The sequence below is a fragment of the Homo sapiens genome, chromosome 14 (assembly GCF_000001405.40).
Source record: "Homo sapiens chromosome 14, GRCh38.p14 Primary Assembly".
NCBI lineage: Eukaryota > Metazoa > Chordata > Mammalia > Primates > Hominidae > Homo > Homo sapiens.
This window is the reverse complement of record NC_000014.9, coordinates 19,455,182-19,482,542: the sequence shown is the minus strand read 5'-3', so window position 1 is coordinate 19,482,542 and position 27,361 is coordinate 19,455,182. Positions and strand designations below refer to the sequence as shown.

General features: G+C 40.2%; 1 long non-coding RNA gene across 2 annotated transcripts; it reads left to right on the top strand.

Annotated features, from left to right (window-relative positions):
• The first annotated feature begins 666 nt into the window (after positions 1–666).
• LOC124903277 (uncharacterized) lies at positions 667–26,868 on the top strand. Of its 2 annotated transcripts, none has more exons than XR_007064054.1 (6): positions 667–1,006; positions 2,219–2,372; positions 10,293–10,450; positions 12,338–12,444; positions 14,637–14,749; positions 22,926–23,722. It is a non-coding gene; the product is annotated as an uncharacterized LOC124903277 (long non-coding RNA). The 2 variants fall into 2 exon arrangements; XR_007064053.1 differs by lacking the exons at positions 667–1,006; positions 2,219–2,372 and adding exons at positions 24,762–25,006; positions 26,537–26,868 and having other exon boundaries at positions 9,223–10,450; positions 22,926–23,036.
• The last annotated feature ends 493 nt before the right edge of the window (positions 26,869–27,361 follow it).

Genomic DNA, 27,361 nt, shown 5'->3' with positions numbered 1-27,361 from the left:
CCCTTGCCACCCTCTTCTCCTCCATCTACCCATAAACTTTTTACCCACTGTCTTTCTGCAAAACCTTCCCTCCCTCCCGCTCCCCACCCTGTTTCTCCCCCTCCATTTACCCAAAAACTTTTTTCCCACCATCTTTTCCCCACTGTCTTTTTGCAACACCTTCTCCTGCTCGCTATTCTCTTTTCCCTTTGTCACTAACCACCCTCTTTACCTCCCTCCATCTATCCCAAAACTATTTTCCTCCTCCTACCGCTTGCGCCACACTGCTTTCTCCGTTGCCGTCACCACAAACCGCAGCGAGGCGAGCCGTCCTACCGCGGCTCCAGCCTCCAGCGTACGGCCTGTGATTACCCATTCCCGGTCCTCTAAGCTGGGCCCTGAGCAGCTCTACAGGAAGATACCGGAACCTTAAAGGGGCAGCCTTCCCTTCAGGATCATTCATATACTGAGGTTATATATAGATGAAGGTTCCTAGACTGCATGTTCTGATTGGATGAGAAAAACCCTCCAGGGTTACTGGGATTGGACTTTATTATCATGTTCTGATTGGATGAGAGCAAGTCTTAAGACAACAAATCACAGCATGAAAATAAAGCCCAATCAGAGTAGGCCTAGAGGTTTTTCTCTCATCCAATCAGAACATGTAGTCCAAGAACGCATGTGCGTAACCTCAGTATATAAAGCACGGTGAGGGCAACCTCAGGTCATTTCAGGTTCTTCAGTGGTGGTGTGCTGCTCTTCGCTTAGAGAACTAGGAGAGGGGACCGCCATCTGCTGCCAGCTGGAGCCAGGGCACTGGCTGTCTCCTGTTGGTGGTGGGGATGGAGCGGTCGAAGGGTGGCCTGCAGTGGGAGCTTTTCCTGCCGGGCAGGAGGAAGAGTAGAAGGGAGAGGCACGGACGCATGCTGGAGGCTGGAGCTTGCGCCACCGCAGCTCGCCTCGCTGCGGTTGGTGGTGATGTCGGACACTGCAGGTCTTCCAGAGTGGTAGACGTGCCGTTGGGTAGGTGAGTTTTCTGGGGCTGCACTGCCCACCTCTGGGGGCAGGGGTTGGGTGTCCTTTTGGGGCTCACTGCCCAAGGCTGCACTCCCTGTGGCAGGCAGCTGGTTCGGGGCACTCTCTGGGGTATTGCTGGCGGTTGGGGGGGTTGGCTGGCTATCACTGGCTACACTGCCTGCGGTGGCGGGGGTGGTGGAGGGAGGCAGATTGTGTGCACTAATGTGTACTGCTGGTTGTGGGTGATGGGTTAGGGGCACTATTTTCTGCTCCACTGCCTGCGGCAGGGGGTGGGTTGGGTGGTTATCTGGAGCTATAATGCTGGCAGTGGGCGGTGGTTTAGGGGTGTTATGGAGTGCTGCACTTCACTTACTTGGGGTGCACTATCAGGAGTTGCACTGCCCGTGGTGGGGTTGGGGGGGGCGGGTTTGGGGCACTGACTAGTGCAGCAACCCCCTTGGCTGGGTCGGGTTGTGGGCCCTGTAATGTGCTACACTGCCTGTTGGGGGTGGTGGCTTGGGGGGGTACTGGGGTTATATGCCTGCAACTGGCACGGGATGTGTTGGGTGTGCTATCCCGGGGCTACACTGCTGATGGCAAGGGGCAGGCAGGTTAGGGGTGCTGTCAGGGGCTACACTGCGTGGCATTGTTGGGCTGCAGAGGTGGCAGCAACAGCAACAGTGGTGGCCTCCTTTCTCCTTCCAGTGACCATTCTTCTTTTCCCAGATTCCAGACTCTAGAGGGTAATCTTCTCCTGCTCATGCAATTGTGAGCACAGCAGGGCCCCCACACCCCCCGTGGTTCCCCAGCCTGTGCCTCATGCTGCCTGTTGGGGAGACCACCTGGGACTACCGGGCAGGGATTAGTGGGAATCATGGGGGACTGTGGGGCCAGGGCACTGTAGGTGGAGGCGTCAGGAACAGGAACCAGCACTTGGGTGGGGAGGGCTGCCTAGGTCTGAGTTTTTCCTAGTCCTGCTCCTGGAGGAGTGCAGCCCTGGTGGGCCCAGCAATTTCTGGCCAGCTGCACCTGAACGGGGGCACTTTCAGCGAAGGCACTCACACCCACCTCAGGCCCCAGTTCTTGGCCAGCTTTGCCAGAAGGAGAAGCTGGACTTTGGAGGGTGGGTGTGAGTTCCTTTCCTGAAACTGGTCCTTGCCACCCAGTGGCCAGCGTGACAAGGTGAGGCTCTAAGGCTACCACTCTCTGCATCCCATTCTAGGCTTTTCTGGCTTTGCCCTCCCAGCTGCTCCAAGCCAGGATGGAGGAGGAGGACAAGGAAGAGTCACCTGTGGTAAACTGGAGCCTGCATATGGCTCTGCAGCTGGTCTCACGAGATTGGTGGCAGCGACGGAGACTGCAGCTCGACTGGAGTGGTAGGAGGGTGCCCGCGGGGGCAAGGTGGTAGGAGCCTTGTAGGGTGGGCTGCTGCATTGAGGGCGACAGCGGTTGTATTGGCATCGGTGCTAGTGGTGGTATCAGCATTAAGTCTGGGGGCTGGGAAGGGGGAGTAGGAGCGCTGCAGGGCCCAGCCCGACCTGGGGATGGGGAGGAACCTGCGGGTACTGTACCAGGCCTTGGTGGCAGCAGTGGAGGTGCACCTAGGGAAAGGAGGAGTCCTTCCCCTTCTCCTGCAATCTGTGGAGGGTGCCCTCCTCCTGCTGGTGACTGAGCCAGGCGTGAGGGGCAGGATTGTCTTATTCTTAACAAAACTTAGGGGGTGACTATTTGTGTATCTTGTTTCTTTTTTGTTGTGATAGTCTCTGACTTTTTCAAATTTCATGAATTGGGGAGGGGATAAAAGGTATCATAATAGGCCTTCTACTTCCCACACCTGTTCTTTTTTCTTTCTTCTAGTCTGTATTGTCTTCTTCTCATCTTCTTGTTTCTCTTTATTTTCTTTTGCTGCTGCTTCTATTTCATGTTTCTATTGTGGTTTATCCTCCTTTTTAAATTTTCTTTATGCCAAGCAATGGCCTTAACAAACAACAAACCGAAAGTGAGTTAAAAAGAAACTACTGGTCCCTGTGTTGTATTTTTAAAATAAATGGTCCCTTACTGTGTTTTAGAGATGAGAAAAAAAATCAGTTGTATTAGTCACTTGAATAGGTATGCTTTCATGATCGTGTTAACCCACTTATGCCTAGTGTTCCATTATTGGAATACTGAGCATGAGGAATTAACTTACATCCTACTGCCCAAGGTCATTGACAAGGTCTGATTTTTCACTCATGCAAAAATTCAAAAAATTGCAGCCTCTTGCATAAGTGGGCTAATGCGTTGTAAGTAGTTACTCAAGGAATCAAAAATGAAGCATCACATAAAATATCGGTAGCAAACAGCCATTTCATTTCTGTCACATATTTATCTGGAGCTATGCAAGAGTCACCGGGGTAATAAGTTCCAGTTTATGAGATTATTAAGTGAACTGTATTCTCTTCATTTTATTTGTCTGCCACCATTTTCTTTTTTTCATTCATTCTTTCTTTTTTTTTTTTGAGACAGAGTTTCACTCTTGTTGCCCAGGCTGGAGTGCGATGGGGCGATCTCGGCTCACCGCAACCTCTGCCTCCTGGGTTCAAGTGATTCTCCCGCCTCAGCCTCCCTAGTAGCTGGGATTACAGGCATGTGCCACCATGCCCAGCTAATTTTGTATTTTTGGTAGAGATGGGGTTTCTCCATGTTGGTCAGGCTGGTCTTGAACTCCTGACCTCTGGTGATCCACCTGCCTCAGCCTCCCAAAGTGCTGGGATTACAGGTGTGAGCCACCACGCTGGCTCTCTGCCACCATTTTCAAGAGTATTGTCACCTGCATGAGCAAACCTGGTTCATCACCACCTCTTTGTAAGAAAAAAGGAAGTGGGGAGAGTTGTGTGTAACTTTTTTCTTTTTTTTTTTTTGAGATGAAGTCTAGCTCTTGCCCCCAGGCTGGAGTACAATGGTGCGATCTTGGCTCACTGCAACCCGCACCTCCTGGGCTCAAGCAGTTCTCCTGCCTTGGACCCCCGAGTAGCTGGGATTACAGGTACCTGCCACCATGCCCGGCTAATTTTTGTATGTTTAGTAGAGACGGGGTTTCACCATGTTGGTCAGGCTGGTCTAGAACACCTGACCTCAGGTGATCCACCTGCCTTGGCCTCCCAAAGTGCTGGAATTACAGGCGTGAGCCACCATGCCTGGCCGTGTATAATGTTTTAAGGCAAAGAGTCACAACCAAAAACAAGGCTTTATTAACTTTTGCCTCTAAGAACCTGCAGTGTTGAGCCCTCTTTTATTCCTAGTATTACTACCTTTGGTGTGAACCGTTTTTTTATTTTTATTTTTACTCATTCTTCTGGAAGTTTATACATTTTCTTGCCTGCTTTAAAGACAATCTATATTATTTTTCAAGCCCACAGTAATGTGTAAGGCCTGTAATTTGGACACTTTTCAGTTATGTTTAAGGTTATGAGCATGTAAGATACTGTTGATATATGGAAGAATATGTCTAATTACCACTAGATAGCTTATATTGAAGAGATAATATCTAAATGTTTGTCCAGAGTTGATTGGGTGCAGTTTCATAGGTGTGTTTCTCAATAAATTGCATCCATGTTTTAAAGCATATAGGAATTTGAATACTGTTTAACCTCATATAGTCCTTGTTTGTAGGTTTAATATTTCTGAAGACAAAAGTCATCACAGCCCCCTTTAAGGTTCAGTAATATTAATAAAATTTGAGATACACAGGGTTAGAATCCAACAAATTCAGAAGAAAATTGTAAAATTATATAGCTGTAGAGCAGGAATGAAACTCAGGTTCTAAGTTCCTAGGGGACCATGAGCTACCATACAGGGGCATCAGTGACTGGGCATAGAGTTGGAAAAATTGCAGGATGGTAAGAGAGTGAGCTGTGGAGCCTAACTCTATGTGAACATGAATTTTTAAACTGCATGGTGCCTCAGTTTATCCATCTTTATGGTGGGGACAGTAGTAAGTTTTTCTTTTTCTGCTCAGTTGTCCGAATTATTTCCCTTGTCTGTCTTGTTGCCACTCTTGATGCTCACGTGAGAGGATCTAAGGTAATTTCTGACAGCCTGGGACTCCTTAAGGAAAAATAGAAGGTTCGACAAACCCCATTTTAGGAGAAACTCTGTTTTCCTCATGGAACCCCAAGAACTTTAAGCAGACAGGTCCTTCTCAAAACCTAAGGCTCTCCTCTGTTTTGCCTTGCGTTATCTGACCTTTTTGGTTTAGGTGGACATCAGACATTAGTAGGGGAGAGAGATCTAAAGAAAGTTGTAGATGTGAAGATGTATTGATGGTAAGAAAAGTTATGAAGGAAAGAAATGTTGTATGAGAGAGGATCTTATATGGCAAATTGTTGTCCTAAAGTAGAATGACTAATTACGAAAGAGGAAAATACAGGACAGGTCAGAAAGTTTAATCATGTCATAGATGCTCTGTGGAAGTTGTGTTATGGTTCATGAAATGGGAAAGAAAATCTTAACAGCTGCTAGATCTTTTTCTGTCTAGAAGTGTTGTGTATGTGATGTATATATAAAGGAGCTCTAGTGGCTCGGCTTAAAAGAAAATGAAAGCTCTTAAATATTTTGTCAGAAAAACAGAAGCTCTAATGCCTTTTATTTCATGTGAGTTCAGTAATCTTGGGGAAGTAAAGACAGTGTTAAAATCATTGGTAAAATAAAAATATCTTCAAAATTTATCCATTTGGTGTAATTTAAGTCAAAGTTCAGAAGTGCTTTAATGTCATGAATTGATTGTTTGACTTTGGAAAATAGTTCTGTTTATCTGGTTTGGAGCCGTTAGATTTCTAGGTAAGGCCTCCAGACAGGTGGAGTTAGCCATGTCTCCTAGCTATGCTGGAAAGAGTCAGACTTTATCTACGGTTCCGTCTTGAATCCTAAACTCTGCACCTGGTATGTAATTAAAACTTCCTGCTGCTGCTAATCTCTGGGTTCCATTTAAAATCCTTCCGTCACATGAATACTATCCCCTGTACTAAATTTTTCCACAATTAAGTACTTAGAATAGTTTTTGCTGACTTGACCCAACCATTAGTGATATATTTTAAAACTACTTCTAATGTGTCACAATGTATTCAGCAAATGCAGGGAATGACATTTTTCCTTTTGTCAGCATTTACATAGCATTTATGTAGCAATGCTATTTCAAGTATTTTTAGTCATTTAAATATTGAATAATAGATAATGCTTTTGATTCTTTCATTTCTATGTAAATAAATGTAATTGAGATATTTAGTAAATAGTATCAATTACATGTCTCACTTATAGAATATACTTATCAAATTGGGATTATTCTTTTTATACACTACATCATATTTCCTTGTTGGTTTTATAATAACTTAGAAATAATATTCTGGATTAACTGTGTGACTCATGAGAGAGGGAGTTTGTGCAATTATAGTCTTTACAAATTTTTATTAGATTTTCAAGACTTACACTGGAACTGTGAGAACAAGGTAATAAATAAGCATATCTATTAATATCATCTTTGGTCAACTCTTGGCTGGACCCAATGATAGTGTAGGAATTAACATAATTTTTCCTACTAAAGGTATTGGATTTGTTTTGAGAGACCACAGTTTAATATCATTGACATAGAAAGTTTAAAAATTGTTAGACTAAAATTTTTTAGTGCTGTTGAAGTTGTTTTACAGAAAAATATCTATCCTGGTTTACATTGATAGTTTTTTTTATAAGAACTAGATCAAGAGAAAGGGAGAGTAGTGATAAATGTCCAGGTTTTCGAGTTGAAAAGTAACAATCAGTGTATTACAACAGATAGATTTGATGTCAAATTGCAAATGCTGAAAACGTTATATGTAATTGACTAGCCAGAGTAATTATACAAGGCAAAGAAAGGAAAAGCATCTAAATAGGAAAGGAAGGGGTGAGATTGTCTCTGTTTTCTGAAAATGTAATCTTTTAACATAGGGAAAATCTTAGACTCCACCAAAAAAACCCATTAAAGCTGATAAACACTATATTCAACAAAGTTGAGAGTTACAAAATTAACATACAAATAGTATTCTTGTTTTTATACACCGATGATAAACTATTATCTGAAAAATAAATTAATAAAGTAATTCCGTTTATAATAGCATCAAAACAAATATATAAATAAATAAAAGGCCAAGGAGTAATTTTAATGAAGGATGTGAATGATGTGTATACTGAAAATTATAGCACATTGATGAAAGAAATTGAAAGTGACATAAACATCCTATATTTATAAATTGAAAAAATTAATATTGTCAAAATTGCAATGCTACCGAAAGCAGTCTACAGATTAAATGCAACCACTATCAAACTCCAATGTCATTTTTCACAGAAATAGAAAAATTAGTCCTAAAATCTGAATGGAACCACAAAAGACCCTGAAAAACCAAAGCAATCTTGAGCAAAAAGAACAAACCTGGAGGCATCAGACTATACCTAATCTTTGACAAAGCAAACAAAACATAAAGTGGGAAAAGATGCCCTATTTGGTGCTGGCATAATTGGCAAGCCACGTGCAGAAAAATGAAACTGTTCTTCAAAAGGTTAAGTATAGAATTATCATGACTCAGTAAATTAACTCCTATGTATACAGCAAAAAGGAATTAAAACAAATGCCTTACACAAAAAGTAGCATACAACTGTTTATGGCAACAAAAAGTAGGAAACAACAGAAATGTCCATCAGTTGAGGAGTGGATTAATAAAATGTGATCTGTCCATAAAATAAAATATTATTTGGCAATGAAAAAGAAAACGGTATTAATAGATGCTCCAAAAAGGATGAACATTGAAAAAATGATAAGTGAAAGTAGTGAGTCACACATAACTATATATTATTATGATTCCACTTACATGAAATGTCCAGAATAGGCAAATCCTTCCAGAATTGGCAAATCCTTAGGAAGTAGATGGATGATTGCCTAGGGCTGGGAGGGTTTTAAAGGAAGAGTGGGGAAAATGGGAAAAGATTGCTAATGGGTGCAAGGTTTCTTATAAGGAGCATAAAAGTGTTCTAAAATTATATTGTGATTGTTTATGCACCCAGTTAATACACTAAAAAAACCTGAATTTTATACTTTAATTGAGTGAATTAAATAATACATAAATTATATCTCAATGAACCTGTGAAAAAAGTTTAAAAATATGTGGTATGCATAAACAAAAAGTTCTTGTATTTCCATAGGGTTTTGGGGAACAGGTGGTGTTTGATTATGTGAGTAAGTTCTTTAGAGGTGATTCATGAGATTTTGGTGGACCCAACACCTGTGCAGTATACACTGTATACAATTTGTAGTCTTTAATTCCTCACCCCCTCCCACCTTTTCTCCCAAGTCCCAAAGTCCGTTGTATTCTAATGCCTTTGCATCCTCACAGCTTAGCTACCTCTTATTAGCGAGAGCATACGATGTGTGCTTTTCCATTCTTAATGTTACTTCACTTAGAATGATAGTCTCTGATCGGCTGGGCGCGGTGGCTCACGCGTGTAATCACAGCACTTTGGGAGGCTGAGGCAGGTGGATCACGAGGTCAGGAGATCGAGACCATCCTGGCTAACATGGTGAAACCCCGTCTCTACTAAAAATACAAAAAATTAGCTGGGCGTGGTGGCGGGCATCTGTAGTCCCACCTACTTGGGAGGCTAAGGCAGGAGAATGGCATGAACCCGAGAGGCAGAGGTTGCAGTGAGCTGAGATCGTGCCACTGCACTCCAGCGTGGGTGACAGAGAGACTCTGTCTAAAAAAAAAAAAAAAAGAAAAACGAAAAGAAAGTCTCTGATCCCATCCAGGTTGCTGTGAATGCCATTATATTTTTTCCTTTTTATGGCTGAATAGTATTCCATGATGTATATCACAATTTCTTAATCTACTCATTGATGGGCATTTGGGCTGGTTACATATTTCTGCTATTGTGAATTGTGCTGTTATAAACTTGTGTGTGCAAGCATCTTTTTTATATAGTGACTTCTTTTCCCCTCTGGGTAGATACCCAGTAATGGAATTGCTGGATTAAATGGTAGTTCTACTTTTAGTTCTTTAAGAAATCTCCACACTGTTTACTATAGTGGTTGTACTAGTTTACATTACCACTAGCAGTATAAAAGTGTTCCCTTTTCACCAAATGCCCCCCAATATTTTTTATTTTTTGCTGTTTTGATTATGGTCATTCTTGCCAGAGTAAGCTGGCATAGCATTGTGAGTTTTTGGTTTTTTTTTTTGAGATGGAGTCCGCTCTGTCACCAGGCTGGAGTGCAGTGGTGTAACCTTGGCTCACTGCAACTTCCACCTTCTGGGTTCAAGGGATTCTCCTGCCTCAGCCTCCCGAGTAGCTGGGACTACAGGTGCCCACCACCACTCCCGGCTAATTTTTGTATTTTTAGGACAGATGGAGTTTCACCATGTTGGCCAGGGTGGTCTTGATCTCTTGACCTAGTGATCTACCCGCCTCAGCCTCCCAAAGTGCTGGGATTTCAGGTGTGAGCCACCGCTCCCAGCCTGACATTGTGGTTTTGATTTGCATTTCCCTGATCTTTAGTGATGATGAGCATTTTTTCATGTTTGTTGGCCATTTTTTATATCTCCTTTTGAGAACTGTCTATTCAAGTCCTTAGCCCATTATTTGAAGGGATTGGTTTTTTTCCTGTTAATTTGAGTACCTTGTAGATTCTGGTTATTAGTCCTTTCTCAGACGTATAGATTGTGAAGATTTTCTCCCATTCCATGGGTTGTCTGTTTACTCTGCTTATTGTTTCTTTTGCTGTGCCAAAACGTTTTGGCTTGATTAAGTCTAACCTTTTAATCTTCATTTTGTTGTTGTTGCACTTGCTTTTGGGTTCTTGGTCATGAAGTCTCTGCCTAAGCCAATGTGTAGAAGGGGTTTTCCAATGTTACCTTCTAGAATTTTTATGGTTGCAGGTCTCAGATTTAAGTTGACTTTTGTATAAGGTAAGAGATGGGAATTCAGTTTCATTTCTTGGGATGTAGCTTGCCAATTATCCAAGCACCATATGTTGAGTAGGGTGTTCTTTCCCCACTTTATATTGTTTGCTTTGTCAAAGACCAGTTGGCTGTAAGTATTTGAGTTTACTTCTGGGTTCTCTATTATGTTTCATTGGTCTATGTGCTTATTTTTATACCAGTATTATGCTGTTTTGCTGACTATGGGTTTGTAGTATAGATTGAAGTCAGGTAATGTAATGCCTCCAGATTTGTTCTTTCTGCTTAGTCTTGCTTTGGCTATGTGGGCTCGTTTTTTTTTTCCCATATGAATTTTAGAATTATCAGGAGCCACCAGGTGCTGCAGCAGCTTTGGGATAACTTGAGGGCGCATCCTGGGGAAGAAACACCTCCTGTCCATGGTGCTAACTGCTGAGGACAGTGCTTCGGCGTGGCTTCTCCGTGGCCCAGCTTCTTTGGGGCGTTTTTCTTTCATGGTGAGTACAGAAGCTTTCATTTTGTGGAATGTTCTGTGTATTTCTGCTAGATTCTCACTCCTTTTTTCTCTCTTGATATCTTGCCATTAATTTTACAGTAGTACTCATTCCCTGAGGGCTTTTGAGTTTGGAATATGTGGGAGGCTTTAGGGCTGTTTCTGAGGGAGACTCCCCATGTAGGTGGAGAGGAAAGCTCTGGCTGTGGGAGGAAGGGGAAGCCTGGCCCAGGTGGGGTTTTGGGGCCAGGCCCCAGTTTGGCTGCCTTGCTTTCAAGCCTCAGATGGAAGGAAAGGATCCAACTTAACCTCCAGGGTTTGCTGATTTTTTAATTGTTTTTATTTTTATTTTTATTTTGGAGATACAGTCTTGCTCTGTTGCCCGGGCTGGAGTGCAGTGGTGGATCTCAGCTCACTGCAACCTCCATTTTCTGGGCCCAAGGGATTCTCCAGCCTCAGCCTCAACAGTATTTTGGCCTATGCCACCATGCCCAGCTATTTTTTTTTTTGTATTTTTGGTAGCAACAGGGTTTCGCCATGTTGCTTGGGCTTGTCTCAAACTTCTGAGCTCAAAGCAGTCCTCGCGCCTCAACTTCCCAAAGTGCTGGGATTACAGGCATTAACTACTGCACCCGGTCTGGTGAATTTTTAAATCTGTATCCCTGCTATCAGGACGTAGGGGTCACATTTCTCCACTCCCTGCAGTGCCTGCCTAACTCTGTCCCTCTAGTCATGGCCACCTGACTGGGGGAAGGGACCTTGAGTGTGGTTTACTGTCCTCTTTGCAGAAATGTCTATTCAGGGTCCCTGCTCATTTTTGGATGGATCATTGGTTTTTTTGTTGCTACTTAGTACTGTTAATGTGTTGTATAGTTTCCATAACAACCCCTTAGCTGATTCGTGATTCCTCAAAACATTCTCCCAGCCTTTCTTTTTGGGTTCATTGTTTCCTTTTCCTTGCAAAAACTTTTCACTTTGATGTTGCCATGCATGTTTTCTTATGGCCAGGCATAATGGCTCGTGCCTGTAATCCAAGCACTTTGCAAGGCCAAGGTGGGCAGATCACTTGAGCCAAAGAATTTGAGACCAGCCTAGGCAACATGGCAAAAGTTCATCTCTACAAAAAATACAAAGAAATTAGCCAGGCGTGGTGGTGTGTGCCTGTAGTTCCAGCTATTCAGGAGGCAGAAGTGGGAGGATCAGTTGTGCCAGAGAGGTCAAGGCTGCAGTGAGCCATGATCATGCCACTGCATTCCAGCCTGAGTGACAGAGTCCTTGTAGTTATCACTTCTACGTTTCCTTCAAATGTTCTAACAATTTTTTTGAGACAGAGTTTCATTCTCTCACCCAGGCTGGAGCACAGCGGCATATCAGGGATTGTGAGTCCTCCAACTTAGTTTCTATTTCTCAGGATTCCTTAGACATTCAGGGCCATTTGTGGTTCCATGTGATCATCAGCATTGTGTATTCACGTTTCTTAAATTTCTGTGCATAGTAAAGTATATAATTAGAGAGTCTGCTGGGACTGTTTTTCCTCTGGCACATTTTGATTCATGTATATTTTTAGTAATGATCAAATCAGGGTACTTGGCATATCTGTTCTCTCATACAGGTATTATTCTTTTGTGAAAACATTGGAATTGCTCCCTGTGGCTTTTTTGAAAAATATAGTATTAACCAGAATCACGGAGCTGTGGTATAGAGCACAAGAATGTATCTGTCCCAACTAACTGCAACTTTGTTTCCACAACCAATCCTCCCATTCCCTCCTTCCCCTCTCCTCAGAAAACCACTACTTATCCAAGGCAAAGTTTTCTGGATTCCATATAAGTGAGATGAATCTGTGGTTATTTTTCTATGCTTGGCTTATTTTATTTAACATATTTTCCAGGTTCATCCATATGGCTCCAAATGAAAATTACATTAATTATGGATGAAGAGTATTGTGTTGTGCAGATATACTGCAGTTTCTTCATCCCTTCATCTATGGATGGACAGGTAGGTTGATTCCATATCTTCTATATTGCGAATACTGTCATGAAACATGGGAAGGCAGGTAACTCCTTAAGGTACCGGTTTCCTTTGCTTTAAATGCATACGCAGTGTGAGGAACATCCCAACTTTTTCACAGTGTATTCACTAATTCACATTGGCATCAATAGCGTATAAGAGTTTCCCTTTCTGTAAGTCTACACTGGCTGCTACCTTCCAAAAATGTTATTCCTGTTTTTGGTAATATTCTCAGTGGAGTTTGATGGTATCTGATATTGGAGTGTGATTCTGACTTACATGTTTGGAGTGATTAGTGATGTGGAGAATCTTTTTTTTTCACCTGTGAATCAGTTTCATGTCCTTTGCAGAAGTGATTGTGCAGGTCCTTTGCATATTTTTAGCTTGTGTATTTTTTTAATCTTTTCCCCACTTAGTAGCTTTAGTGCTTGCATATGTTAGATAACAACCCCTTCCAAAATCACGATTCTCCACAATTTTAACCCAATCATCCTTTCCGCCAAGGTAAGATGCTTTCTCTTTGGGTTCATTGTTTTCTCCCCCATGCAGAAGCTCTAAAGTGTTGGTCTCACAGTTTTTTATTTGCTTTTGTCAGCAGGGATTTCTGTGTCCAATCAGAGAGAGAAAAAAGAGATCACAAAGTCATTGTATTGTCTACAGGTATTTTCCCTGTAAGTGAGAGCATGTGGTATTTTGTTTTCTGTTAGATTGTGTTAGTTTGCTTAGCATAGTGACCTGCAGGTCCATCCTTGTTGCTGTCAAGAGCATGAATTTTTTTTAAGCTGTGTAGGATGTTGTGGTATCTATGTGTAGCACTTTTAAAGCATGTAATCAACTGTTAAGGGGGGACATAGGTCGATGTTATTTTATATTTCCATGTGAATAGCACTTCCAAGAACATACCCATGCCTGTGTCATTTTGAAAGGAAGATTTATGATTTATTTTCCTTTGTGTAGATACCCAGTTATGTGATTGCTCATTTGGATGGTAGTTGTTAAGTTCTTTGAGGAACCTCCAAACCACTTCTCATAGTGTGAGAGCTAGTTTTTATTCCCACCAAGAGTGTAGCAGTGTTTGCTTTCCTCCATTGCCTTGCCACCATGTTAATGCTTGGCCTTAGGACAAATGGCCATTCTGACCGATGTGAGATGGTATCTCAGTGTTCATGAGAGTTGCATTTCTCTGATGATGAGGGATGTTGAGGTGTTTGTTCATGTTCTCTACCCATTGTTTGAATGGTTTGTTTTTCTGCCTCTTGATTTTTTTAAGGTCATATTAGAGTCTGGCTATCAGACCTTGGTGAGAAGCATAGTTTGGGAACATTTTCTCCCATCCTGTAGCCTGTGTGTTTACTGTGCCAGTGATTTATTTTGCTATCTGGCAGTGTTATAGTTTCTTAGGCCCAGCTTGTCCTTTTGGTTTTTCTTACTGTTGCTTTTTGTTTAAATGCTTTTCCAAAGCCCGTACTGAGAAAGATATGTCCTAGGTTTCCTTGTAGGACTTTTATAGTTTGAGGTATTCTGCTGAAATCTTTCATTCACCTTGGGTTAGTTTTTGTATCTGACGAGAGTTAAGGCTCCAGTGTTGTCCATCTGCATGTGTCTAGCCACCTAGCCCAGTGCCCTTCACTGCATAGTGAGCCTTTTGTCCATCTGACGTTTGGTGTTTCAGCATGGCTTTGGAGTTTCAGGGCATTTTGTGGTCCCATGGGAATTTTAGCATTGTTTGTTTATGTTGTTTTTAGGAAACAAAATTGGCCCTGTCCTAAATATGTACAACTAGAGGGTCGAGTGGGACATTTGGGTCCATGCATGCATCGTATAGGGATGAAATCAGGGTATTTAGCATCCTTTTATGCCTGGTAGAGTTTTCATGTCTTTGAGTGAGGAGAGCGAGAACCCTCCTTTCTGGCTGTCTTGAAGACCACCCTTTGGTAAAATTTTCCCTAGTCATCCTGCTGAGGAATAGAACAGCAGGTTTCATTCCTCTCATGCAACGTGTCACTTTGTACCTGTTTCCTATGCCCACCCTTGCCCAGCCTTCTTTTCCAACCCTGGCAAGCACGATGGTGCTTTGTAGGTCTGTGTGAGATAAAGTTTCCTAGATTCCTCATGAGTGAAGTGATGCGAGGTTTGTCTTTCTCTGCCTAGTGTGTTTTGTTTACCATAATGTTCTCCAGGTTCCACAGTGTTGCCACGGATGACCTGATTTCAGTACCCGTGTCTGGCTGAAGAGTATCTGGTTGTGACTGGATACTGCAGTTTCTGGATCTCATCCTCTGTGGGTGGACAGGTAGGTTGATTGCTTATCTTGGCTATTGCGACTGTTTCCACAGTCAGCGTGGGAAGGCAGATACGTCTTCTGTGTACTGATTTCATATGATTCCAGTAGCAGCACAGCTCAGTGGTTGTAAGTTTAGTTTTCTGAGGAACCTCCAGGTGGCTTCTGTAGTGTGCATACTAATTACCTGTTAACAGTTGTGGATAAGAAAGCTAACCTCTCTGGAAATTCACAGCAGCTTCTTTTAAGATACACAAAGGTCTTTGTAATAATCGTTCCACCAAGAGAGGCACAGTATCTGAGTCTTGTTCTGATTTTCATTTTTGCCATGATTAGTGGTGTTAACCGGGTGTTAACAAGCATACTTATTTTCAGTTTTATGTGTCTTTTGCAGAAAAGCCTCTTTGGTTTTTTTATCCAGTTTTGGTTTGGTAATTAATTTCTGTTTTCTGGTGTTTTTTGCTAGTTAGTAATGTTAGTTACTTACACCTTTTCCAAAAAATGCCTCATCAGCTGTGTTTTTCTCCAAATGCTTCTTATCATCCTTTGTATGTTTCTTTCTTTTCATTCATGTTTTTCATTCTTTCTTGCCCACAAGCCATGTAGTCTGATGCAGTTTCAGGTGTGTGTAGTGTTCTGGTTTTCCCTTACTTTGGTGACTGATGAAGTTAAAGAAATTCACCAGCTTATCAATCTGTTGCCAGTGAGTTTTGGTTGTTGCTTGTTTGTATTCTTTTTTGTCTTCTTTATTTTTTCTGTTTTCCTTTTTGCAAACCATGAGCATAGATCCAAGTTGACCCTGGTATCTGCACACTATATGCTTTCTTCTTAGAGAGTGACTTTATCAGTTTTGGATAGGTCTTTCTTTCAGTTGAATGAATTGTGAATTTCGCACAATAAGGACCCTATGTTATTTTGCTTAGGGATATCCAGTTCCCTGAACACTGTATTGGACAGACTCTCCCTTCCCAGGGTGACTTTTGTGGTTGTTTTCAAACATGTGCTTACTCGTATGTTGTTAAAGGAAAGTATCTTGGTCCCCCAAAATCACTAAGGAAAACTCAGGCTGGAAACTGCTTAGGGCCAACCTGTCTCCCATTCTGTTAAAAGCCACCCCTCTGCTCACTGAGATAGATGCATATCTGATTGCCTCCTTTGGAGAAGCTAACCAAAACCTCTAAATAATGTAATTATTTGTGTATCTCTTATCCATGACCTTGAAGCTCCCTCCCTGCTTCCAGTCTTCCTGCCTTTGCTTAAAGTTGTTCCACCTTTCCAGAACAAACCTATGTACTTCTTAACATACATTGATTGTTGTCTCATGTCTCGCTAAAATGTATAAAACCAAGCTGTGCCCTGACCACCTTGGGCACATGTTTTCATGACTTTCTGAGGCTTTGTCAGGAGTGTGTCCTCAACCTTGGCAAAATAAACTTTCTAAATTAACTGAGACCTGTTTCAGATTTTCAGAGTTCCCCTTTGGTAACCACGAGGGATTCTGAGTGGAGATGCCCCTGACCTTTGGCAAATCTCCTGTCAGTGCTTGGGACCAGTGTGAGCTCACTTTATGACCCAAACCAATAGGACAATTTGCTGAGATCTGAGAGCACTCCCTCCAAAGAATCCTTCATCTCCAAAACTTTGGTCAAGATCTAAAGTTTATTTTGCTGTACAACTCCTCTTTTTTTTTTTTTTTTTGGAGTTTTACTTGCGTCCAACAAGACAAGTTTTCACACCTCCATGATGTTGGAAGGCAGGTAACTACTTTATAGAGTTTGAGCTCACTTCTTCTATTAGGCAAATTTGTTTTGTGTGTTTGTTTGTTTGTGTGTTTTTCCTGCTTCTAGGATAGTAGAGAGTAGTTTGCAGCCTGAGATCCATCACTAGGTAAGAAACTAGTTTTGGATTCTGTCTTGCAAATTCCTTTTAAAGAATAAAGTTAACATTTAACAACCAGCCGGTGTTAATTTCTGCTTACACGTCAGAGTGCTCAGAAATCATATAATTTGTGTGACCATTGTTAGTTTAGCAGCATTTTGTCCTCGCTGAAATATGGTAATAAGATTAAAAGAGTTTTGTTTAAAGGAGCACAATTGTGTAAAAGTCAGCTTAATTAAAAGGGTAACATCCAGATGTGTGTGCATGTGTGCGCATGTTTGTATTTGAAAGGCCTTCATGTTTTTTGTTTTTTTGTTTGTTTTACTCTCCTAAGACCTTGTCTTTTTGTTGTTGTTGAGCAAATGTGTTTATGTTTTTTTTGTCTTTTTTTTCTCAGTTGACTGAATTCTGTTTTCACTTGATTTTTCTTGACTAAAGTAGTTATTGCAACAGAGGCTACTCTTGGGTTTTTAAGGAAGACTGTAGTTTAATTTAATGTTTAATTTGGCTCGAAGAAAATATTAGTGTCTCCCTCTAGCACCACCAGCCTCTTTCCTTGTGTGCTTTATGTAGTAAATTTTGCTATTTGATTTTCACCTGAATTGTTTCCCTTAACGTTCAAATTTAAGGCTGTTTAGTTGACAGCTGCCTAGGGTTGTGAAACAAGTTACCAAGAATCTGAAAGTCTGAGAGAGAAAAAAAGGGGGAGGTCTTCAATCTATAAAATGTACCGTGACAGCCCAATGCGTTCACCTTGCCCGCTGCCTAGACAGAACCGATTTATCAAGGTAGAGGAAGTGCAGTGGAGAAGGAGTAATTCACGCAGAGCCGGCTGCATGGCAGACCAAAGTTTTTACTCAAATCGGTCTCCCCGAGCATTCGGGGATCAGAGTTTTTAAAGATATTTGGTGGGTAGGGGCTTGGGAAGTGGGGAGTGCTGATTAGTCAGGTTGGAGATAGAATCATAGGGGGTTGAAGTTAGGTTATCTTTCTGTCTTCTATTCATGGGTATGACGGCACAACTGGTTGGGCCAGATTACTGGCCTGGGCAGGGTCTGCAACACGTATCAAGCCCTGATCTTAGGTTTTACAGTAGTGATGTGATGTTACCTGCAGGAGCAGTTTGGGGAGGTTCAGACTTTCGAAGCCAGAGACTGCATGACCCCTAAACTGTACATTCTAATCTCGTAGCTAATATGTTAGTCCTGCAAAGGCAGACTGCTCCCCAGGCAAGAAGGGGTTCTTTTCAGGAAAGGGTTGTTATCAATTTGCTTTCAGAGTCAAACCGTGAACTAAATTCCTTCCCAAAGTTAGTTGAGCTTACACCAAGGAATGAACAAGGACAGCTTAAGGGTTAGAAGCAAGATAGAGTCGGTTAGGTCTGATTTCTTTCACTGTCATAATTTCCTTAGTTGCAGTTTTGCAAAAGTGGTTTCAGTACTTCCATAGATATGCCTGATAGATTTTTAGATGTATTTATGTATTGTGTACAGAATGTTGGACTACTAAAAATATATAAAAGCTCTAATCGGCTTAAAGAAAAATAAAACCACTTAAGTTAAATACTAAGAAAGACTTGCGAAATGCTTTTTCAACTTTATGTAACTTAAGCAAAATCTTTAATAAATAAGCTATCTTTAAAATTATTGGTAAAAAAATATTAGAAATGTCTTAAAAATTGGCAGCATACATTTTTGTTTACATTTAGTATCAACCAATTTCATACATATTCCTGCCAAATACTATAAGGTGTCAAAATTTGGCATTGGGGTTTCAAAAGTATAAACCCAGCCCAAAACGGAATGATCTTTACTTGTGTAATTTTTAATAAGTAAGACATTGATATGGGGTTTAATAAAAACAGCTGCATGTTGAATTTAGTAAGATTACTAGCACTTCTAATCCTGCGGCATTTGGCAGTCTAGTCCACAGACAATAAGGTAAGGACTGTTACTGCCTTTGTTTCAAATCTAAACTATAAACCAGGTTCCTCTCAGTGTTAGTTCAGCCTATGCCCAGGAATGAACAAGGACAGCTTGGAGGTTATGAGCAAGATGGAGCCAGTTAGGTCAAATCTTTTTTTCACTGTCTCAGTTATAATTTTGCAATGGCGGCTTCATAACTTTAAATCATGACTATCACAGATTTCATAAATAATCTAGATAAACAATTAAAATAATTAGGTAATTGTAATGGGATAAATACTTGTAGACAAACTGGTCATAATTTAGAATATAAAGTTAAGTTAAATAATAGATATTTCATTATTTGGGTATTTTCCAATACACATATATTGTAGGAAAACATTCTTGCCAAAAAAGTGTCTTTTTTTCTAAAAAAAAAAAAAAAGAACATGTTTTGTCTAATTCAAAGCTTATTTAAAGTTATATATAAAACAAAGTAAAAGGAACCAGGAAATAAAAAAATGTAAAGAAAGTTGTAAAGAGGTAGTTTTTGAGGTAAAAAAGAGTTTAAAGAGAAATACTATTATATAAGAAAGAATCCTGTGTAGTAAGTTTAGTCCTAAAATAAAATAACTGGTTGTTTAAAAAGAAAGGATGTTCAGAACAAATCAGAAAGTCTGACCATGTCATGAACAATGTAAGTTACAATAAGGATTTATATATTTAAAAAATCCAAAAACTTTTATATAATAAAGTTGTCACATTAAGTTTTGGTTTACTTAGGAAAAAAACTGAGATTTTTTAAAATTGAAGTTATTACATCCATGTATCTTCCTGTATATGCTTTCAAAATCCTTGCAACATTGAGTTACAGGGCTTTTTAACTCCTATGTCTAAAAACGAAAACCAATTCCTGCTAAATCTTAAATACCCACAGCAATTAAAGCCTCATCTTCAGGAACAGTAGAAGATGCCAATTTAAATAAACTGCTGCATTCCTGAGACACAGGGCAGGAAATGAAAGCTATTGAACTCCTCAAGACCAAGAGACTATTGTGAAAGAGGTGGGAGCATAAGATTGTAAGGGCCGATTTTGAAAGATAAAGTTGGTTCAGTTTCTCTATACATTAATTATTAATGTCAAAATCACAATGATGCAAAACCAGTATATGGACCCCTGTGTCAGATTAACAAGGTTTTCTTGAAGCATTTACCAACTCCTTAGTACAGGTTATAAAAGGCTTATGGAAGTTATATTTTATAATCAAGATTACATTTTATAGATTTAGAAAATTTTAAAAAACAAATGTAATTGGCTTCATGCTGTTTTTATTAGGGCTGCTTGTTTAAAAAATTAAGTCTCCTGTCTCAAAGGATGAAGGTTTTCACTTTTAAAAAATCCTTGAATTATCACTTTGGTTAAATAAATGACTTTACAATGACCTGTAATCCTATTTTTTAATATCAAGTGTTTTAAACATTTTATATTTGACAAACTTTCCAAAATCAAATTATATATTATGTCTTTTTCCATCCTAAATAGAACATTAGTTTCTCTAAAGTCTAAAAATGACATAATTTGGCTTATCTGGTATAAAATTTATACAGGAAAGTACTGTCAGATAAGAAATGGTGTTTGGCTTTCTTTCATATCCATTTGTATAAATATGTTATTGGTATGTGTTCCAAAATGATGGGAAACTCCTGTAATTCTGATATAACTTAGTGTACATTATTCGTAATAATCATAATTGCTATGTTAAAATTATCGTGTGCCACGGAGGTAACACATTCACTTGTCAATTGTATCTTTTAACTATGGCTGCCTTTACTTTTTTTTCATCCACAGACGGTTATCTTGTTTTGTCTTGTTTTGTCTTGTTTTAAACCCTCTTTATAAGGTGGGTTTATAATCAGCTGTAGGACTCTTAACAGGTGCACTTAAATTCAGGTTTTCTGATAATTTTGGAAATTGTTACATTGGAATAAAGCAAAAAATTTCGGAACTCTCTCATGGAGAGCTGAAATGTTCCTGACTATGAAACGGAACAGGAGTTAATAGAAATAACTGAACCAACAGAAAATTGAAGTAATCTTTTTGACTTCTTGCTTAAAACATTGCTGATACTTTGTTTAGTTTTTCAGAGTTAAGAAAACTTTGTTAGTTGCAGCTTTTAACAATAAAGTATATTCCTGTGAACAAAATTTGGAGCATATTTGTTTTTCTCTACCTAATTTCTCCAGAATTTGGAAACTGGGGGTATTCTTAATTTATGGCAACATAGTTATTTGCATAAGTGCAATAAGAATCTGTTTTATTTTGCAATAGGACACAGTTGGAGAAGTTGGTTATTTTATCAAGGGTTTGACTGAAATGGTGTGCTTTCCTTTAAGGAATCAAACTTGACTTATAGAAGCCAATAAAGCCCGTGGAAAAACTGGCCTCATATTTTGTGTACACAGTCCCTGTACAGGGTTTTGACCTGTGGTAAATAAAGAATGTCACTTTCTGACAGGTGCAGAAGCCCCAGGTTTATCTTGGAACCTCAAGAGGAGAGGAAATTCACTGAAATCATAGGTATTTGATGGCACAAATCCATGGCTGGGCCTGGCTTAAGAAAGTCTTATCTAAGATTCCTCCTATGGAACAAAGTTCCATCAAAGCCAATTTAAAAGCCTGTGTAAAAAATAATTATTGTTGTTGCACTGTATGCAAATAATTAGACCAAGAATAATAAAGCAAATCAGTTCTAACATGATTTATCTTTAGTAAAAATGGAAAACTGGAGAGAGAAAAAATTATGTTTCAAAACCACAGTAGACCTGTTTTTAGATTCTAGTCTTGCCTAATATTTTTTTCAATTTTTATTATTTTCTACAGTTGGGACCAAATTCTAATTTTTCTTGGCTACAAGTCTTTAATGTTTTCAATTTTTTTTTCAATTATTCCTAACTTGGAGTCACTGAAAACTAAGCTGTGCTTTCTTAAAACCCTGTGAACTGAAGCCAGACAAATTAAACTTCAGAAGAAAATAACAGCAACCTGTTGACATACCTAAGCCACTTTCATACCTGCCTACTGAGGCATGGACTGCAGAGTAATGTGGCTTACATTGATTTTTCCAGGATTGTTCTTTTGTTTGTTGTTGTTTTTTCTCACTTCCTCCCCCCTATTTTAACTTCAAAGGATGTGAGACATCACAACCTGCTAAAAATGAGCTTTTGGGACCTACCTCTCTAGGAATAAACCCTCCTAGCCATGAGAGATGAGATGAAACCCGAGACCAGAGACTCATTTTCTTGTAAAATGCTTTTTCCAAAAGATTTTTTAAAAAGAAAAGGGGGGAAATGTGAAAGGAAAATATCTTGGGCCCCTAAAATCACTAAGGAAAACTCAGGCTGGAATCTGCTTAGGGCCAACCTGCCTCCCATTCTATTCAAAGTCACCCCTCTGCTCCCTGAGATAGATGCATACCTGATTGCCTCCTTTGGAGACTAATCAGAAACTCAAAAGAATGTAACCATTTGTGTATCAGTGATCTGTGACCTGGAAGCTCCCTCCCTCCTTCCAGTCTTCTGAGTTAGCTTCAACTTGTCACACCTTTCTAGACCAAAGCAATATACTTCTTAGATATATTGATTGATGTCTCATGTTTCTCTGAAATGTATAAAACCAAGCTGTGCCCTGACCACCTTGGGCACATGTCATCATGACCCTGAGGCTGTGTCACAAGTGTGTTCTCAACCTTGGCAAAATAAACTTTCTAAATTAACTGAGACCTTCATTTGAGTGTGCTGCTGGACACCCTCATTGTGTTCGTTGGCCTGTGTTTCTCTGTTAATGCCTATCACGAATCGCTTGGGTAACTAAAGCTTTGGGAAGTAGTTGAAAGTGGAAGAGTGTGATGGCACTCCACTGACTTTGTATGTGCAGAAACTGCTTTGGGAATGCAGGGCATTTCATTGTCCCACGGGATTTTTAGTAGTGTGTTGTGATCCTATTTGGAAAACAAAAATAGGACATGGTCTATGTTTTTATTTAAAGGGTGCAATGGACCTTTTTACATGAATCAATGAAACTACAGGACCTAGCATCTGTTTCATGCTACAGTGAGGATTTCTTGATGGAGAGAGCATTCCAAATCCTTTCCAGCAATATTGAATATTATGCTATGATATTGTTAAGCCTAGTCACCCTGCTGTGCTGTAGAACACCAGAGTACCTGTGCCTCATCTGAGCATCCCTTTGTAGCCATTTCCAATCCTCCTCCGAGCCTCTGGTACCCACTGTTGACATTGCTACTGTATGAGATTCACTTTGTTAGATTCCACGTGCATGAGATTGCACAGTATTTGTGTTTGTCTTCCTCTGCCTGGCTCATGTTTTTTAACTTAATGCCCTCCAGGTTTCTCCATCTTGCTGGTAGTGAACTGATGTCCGGAAGTTTGATGGCCGAAGAGTATACCGTTGTGCATATATCCTTCAATTCCTGATTTTATCATCTGTAGAAAGACAAGTAGGTTGATTCCCCACCTTGGTTATTGTCCAGAGTACTTCATGAAACATGGGAAGGGAGATACCTCCTTAAGGTAGGTTTCCTTGGCTTTGCAGGTATACCCAGTGTTGGGATGGCTAGAGGAACTGGTGGTTGTGTTGTTAATTGTTTCAGAAACCTCCAGCTGTTTCCCAGTGGGTATACAAATTTGCATTCAAACCAGTAGTATGTAATAGTTCCTCTGTCTGCAAATCTACACTGCCCTTATCTTCCAAAGTTTTATTGCTGTTTCTGGTCATACTCGTTCTCTGGGGAGAAACTCTTCTGATGTGGAGAAACTTCTGTTACCTGAGAGGCTGTTTCAGGTTTTTTCAGAAATGCCTATGCCAGTCTTTTGGGCATTTTTAGTATTGGTTTTTGTCCACTTAGGTGTGACAAGCATTGTATATTGGTTTTTGTCCACTTAGGACCATTAGTTTCTTGAATATGTTAGATAAGAAGCCCTTCCAGATCCACAGTTTTCCATAATTTTCTCCCAGTCTGTAGGATGTTTTCTGTTGGGTTCACTGTTTTCTCTCCAGTGTTGAAGCTGTGTGAAGCTCTGAAGTTGTCCTTAGTTTCACATGGTCACATTAGCTTTTCTTAGTGGTGATTTCTGTGTCCCTTTGAGGAGAAAAGCAAGATGGTGAAGCCATTATGTTATGGTCTATGGGTATTTGGTTCCTATGTCTTCGTTTTCTGCTTGTAGCTTAGGTTCACAGGTTCAAGTTTCCCCACAGTAGACATACACTCTATGCGTTTCCCTTGGAGATTTTGGTTTCAGGATTGAATTTAGGTGTTCAGTAGATTTTGTGTCACTTTTTGTGTCTTGGGTAAAGGAAGGGTTTGGTCCTTTACACGTGACCCCCACCCCCCCCCAACAGTTTCCTCAACCATTGTTGTGCTTTTGGGGTAAAAGCAAGAATCCCATGGGTTCAGTGTTTATAACTGTGGGTTGATTATTTGGCTCCTTCGTTTTGTCCATTCTGTTATCTTTCTGTGTTCATGCCACTAAGAGGATGGATTGGGTCACTGTAGGCTTTTTGTTTTGTTTTGTGTGTTTTCTTCCTTTTTTCTATTTTTATTTCCAAAGCTGGGTTTTCTAAAATGATAGCTACTTTTATTGTGATCAAGGGGTACGCCTGCAGGTTCACTTCACTACATGGCTATACAGTAGAATTTTGATGCTTGAGGTCCTAACGTACCTGTCGTCCAGGCAGTGAACACAGCACCAGTTGGGTCTTTCTTCCTCCAAGGCTCCCTGTCTCCCTTCTTTTTCTGTCTGGTAGTACCCAACGTCTGTTGATTTCATATTGATGTTGATGTGCATTGGGTGTTGAGCTTCCACTTATAAATGAGAACCTGCAGTGTTTGGTCTTCTGTTCTTGCCTCAGTTGCTTAGCAGAGTGGCCTCCAGTTCCACCCATGTTCCTACTGAGGGCATGATTTTGTTTCTGTGTTTGATTTTCCTTAGTGGTTTTTTCAGCATTCTGTGATGTATAGGTACCACATTTTAAAAAATCCAATTTTCTGTTGGTGGGCATCTAGGTCAGTTCCACATCTTTATTCCTGTCAGTAACACTCCCGTGGACATGTGAGTGTCTGTGTCCTTTTGATAGATGCATGTGTTTTTCCCTGGGGTAGACGCACCGGGGGGGATTGCTGCGTCAAAGCGTAGCTCTGCTTTCTGTCCTTTTTTTTTTCCAGAAATCTTCAGACTGATTTCCACAGTTTGAGATCTAGTTTGCATTACCTCCAAGAGAATAGCCATGTTTGCTTTTCTCTGCTGCCACACCAGCATGTTATGTTTTGACTTAGGACAAATGGCCACTCTGACCAGCGTGTGATGGCACCGGTACCTCATCTCTGATGATTGGTGATGTTGAGCATTCCCCACGCCTGTTGGAATGGCAATCCCTTGGAAATGTCTTCTCAATAGTTACTACCCATAGGTATGTTGCTCAGGCCACTGTGTGGCCCCAGCACTTGGTTTGCATAGGGACTTGGGGATTGTTTGTCATCATTAGCCGGGACAAATGTTACACTGCTGTTCCTACAGTGAGTAGTGGGAGTGGCGTATGGGGGCATATGCTTATGTCCACAGTTCCATCAGAAATCCCACTGCCTTAAGACAGTCTTACGGAAACCGAGTCCCAGCCTTGCAGCACCGGGTAGCCCTGTGGCATTTTGACATTGAGTGTGTCTGCATTGTTGAAGTCACTCAGCATGTTGCCATGCGTTTATCCACTTAGGTCAACGTTAAGGGAAGTTCATCGCCTCTGCTTCTTCAGTAACTGATGTCTGGTGCATCAACTGAATGCATTTCAGGCTTTTCAGCAGTTCCCCCAGATCTATGGGTAAAAAAAGGTTTTCACCATGCCCACCTCCCCAGTGAGTGACCAATGTCTCATTGTTAATGCATCTGATGCACAGAGTTTAGTGGTCTGAGGGAGGTCAGTCGCCAAGCGGAGATTGAAATCACATTTGTATTTACATTATTACTTTTCTACAGTTTGGTTTGTTGCAGGCTTTCACACTACTAATCTGGGCTGAATCCTTGAATTACTTTGTCTACCAAGGGTTTCAAAGAACTTGATAAACTTGTTCTAATTAGCCAACATATTCATCCATGTTGTCCGTATACCAGGTGTAAAAATAAAACGTTTCTTAATGCACACAGGACATGGAAGGCAATCTACACATTTTCAGGTGTAGACTTTGCTTGTGACTCTTTTGTGAGGAATAGTCATTGTTATTTTAGGAAAACCCTGAGTTTATCCAACTCTTGTTAGAATTGGATAAGTGTAAAAACCTACAATAGAATGCAAGTGTGAGAGCCAATTCCTCTGGTAAAATAAACTCATATTATTATTTATATATGTCTGGTCATTGTATTAATAAAATCAGTTTGTTTTGGCTGAAACACATGGTTGGCCTTTACAATAGATGTGAAAATGGGCTTATAGATCATTGCTCTTTATTGTGAATATTAGGTTGTATTTATTGCCAAACTCTTTCAACAGCTTCTAAGCAGTGAATTTTCAGTGCATTGTTGTTGTTCTCCAAGTACAAGCAGCCACTTCAGTTTTACCACATTCATCTTCCACACACTGATGAACCATATGGAGGCAGCAGGAATTGAAGTAGAACCAGAGGGAGTAGTTAGGACAGACATTCTGATTCATTCATTCTGATTCTCACTATTGTCAGTGAGTAAAGGTTCATTGAATTTTTCTTCTGATGAATAAAATGGTCAGTTTTCTCAGTGCAATGGCTTACTTTTGGAAGAGCAGCTCTAAAGACTTTACTACTGATTAGTAAAGTCTAAACTGCTTTCTGTATTTTTTTTTAAATTCAACTTTTATTTTAGACTGAATAAAAATGTGCAGGTTTATTGTGTGATACTGAGTTTTGGGGTACGATTGAAGCCATCACTAAGGTAATGAGCATCTCACCTTCTCCTTCTCTTCACTCTGTTACAGAGAACAGACCCTCCCAGTCTTCAGTGCACTCTAAATACTTGCTAATTCTGGCCAATGGAAGGCATCTGTGGAAGAAAAAAGCCTCAGATCATGTGCTATCTGTCTTTATTCAGTGTGACATATTAGGTAATGGTCACAGACACTCACCATGGCCCCAGTTTTTAATAACATGACCCTGCTTTTGTGTTCCAGTAACTTCTGTTGTTTTCCCAATCCTAAGTATGATAGAAACTTCCTGCTGCTGCTAATCTCTGGGTTCCATTTAAAATCCTTCCATCACATGAATACTATGCTGTGTTCTAAATTTTTCCATAATTAAATACTTACAATTATTTTTGCCTACTTCTTTTGCCCCTTAGTGATATGTTTTAAAAACACTTATAATGTGTCACAATATATTTAGCAAATGTAGGGAATGACATTTTTACTTTCGTCAGCATTTACACTAGCATTTATGGAGCGATGCTATATAAAGTATTTTTAGTAATTTAAACGTTATATAACAGATATCCGTTGATTCCTTTGTTTCTACGTAAATAAGTATACTTGAGATATTCAGTAAACAGTATTGAATACATGTTTCATTTGTATAATATAAAATTATGATTATTCTTTTTAAACAGTACATCATATTTGCTTGTTGGCTTTATGATAACTTAGAAATAATATTCTGGATTAACTGTGTGACTCATGAGAAGATTTGTGCAACTATGTTTCCAAATTTACTTGATTTTCAAGACTTACACTAGAACTGTGAGAACAGGGTAATAAATAAGCATATGTATTAATATCACCTTTGGTCAACTCTTGGGTAGCCCCAACGGT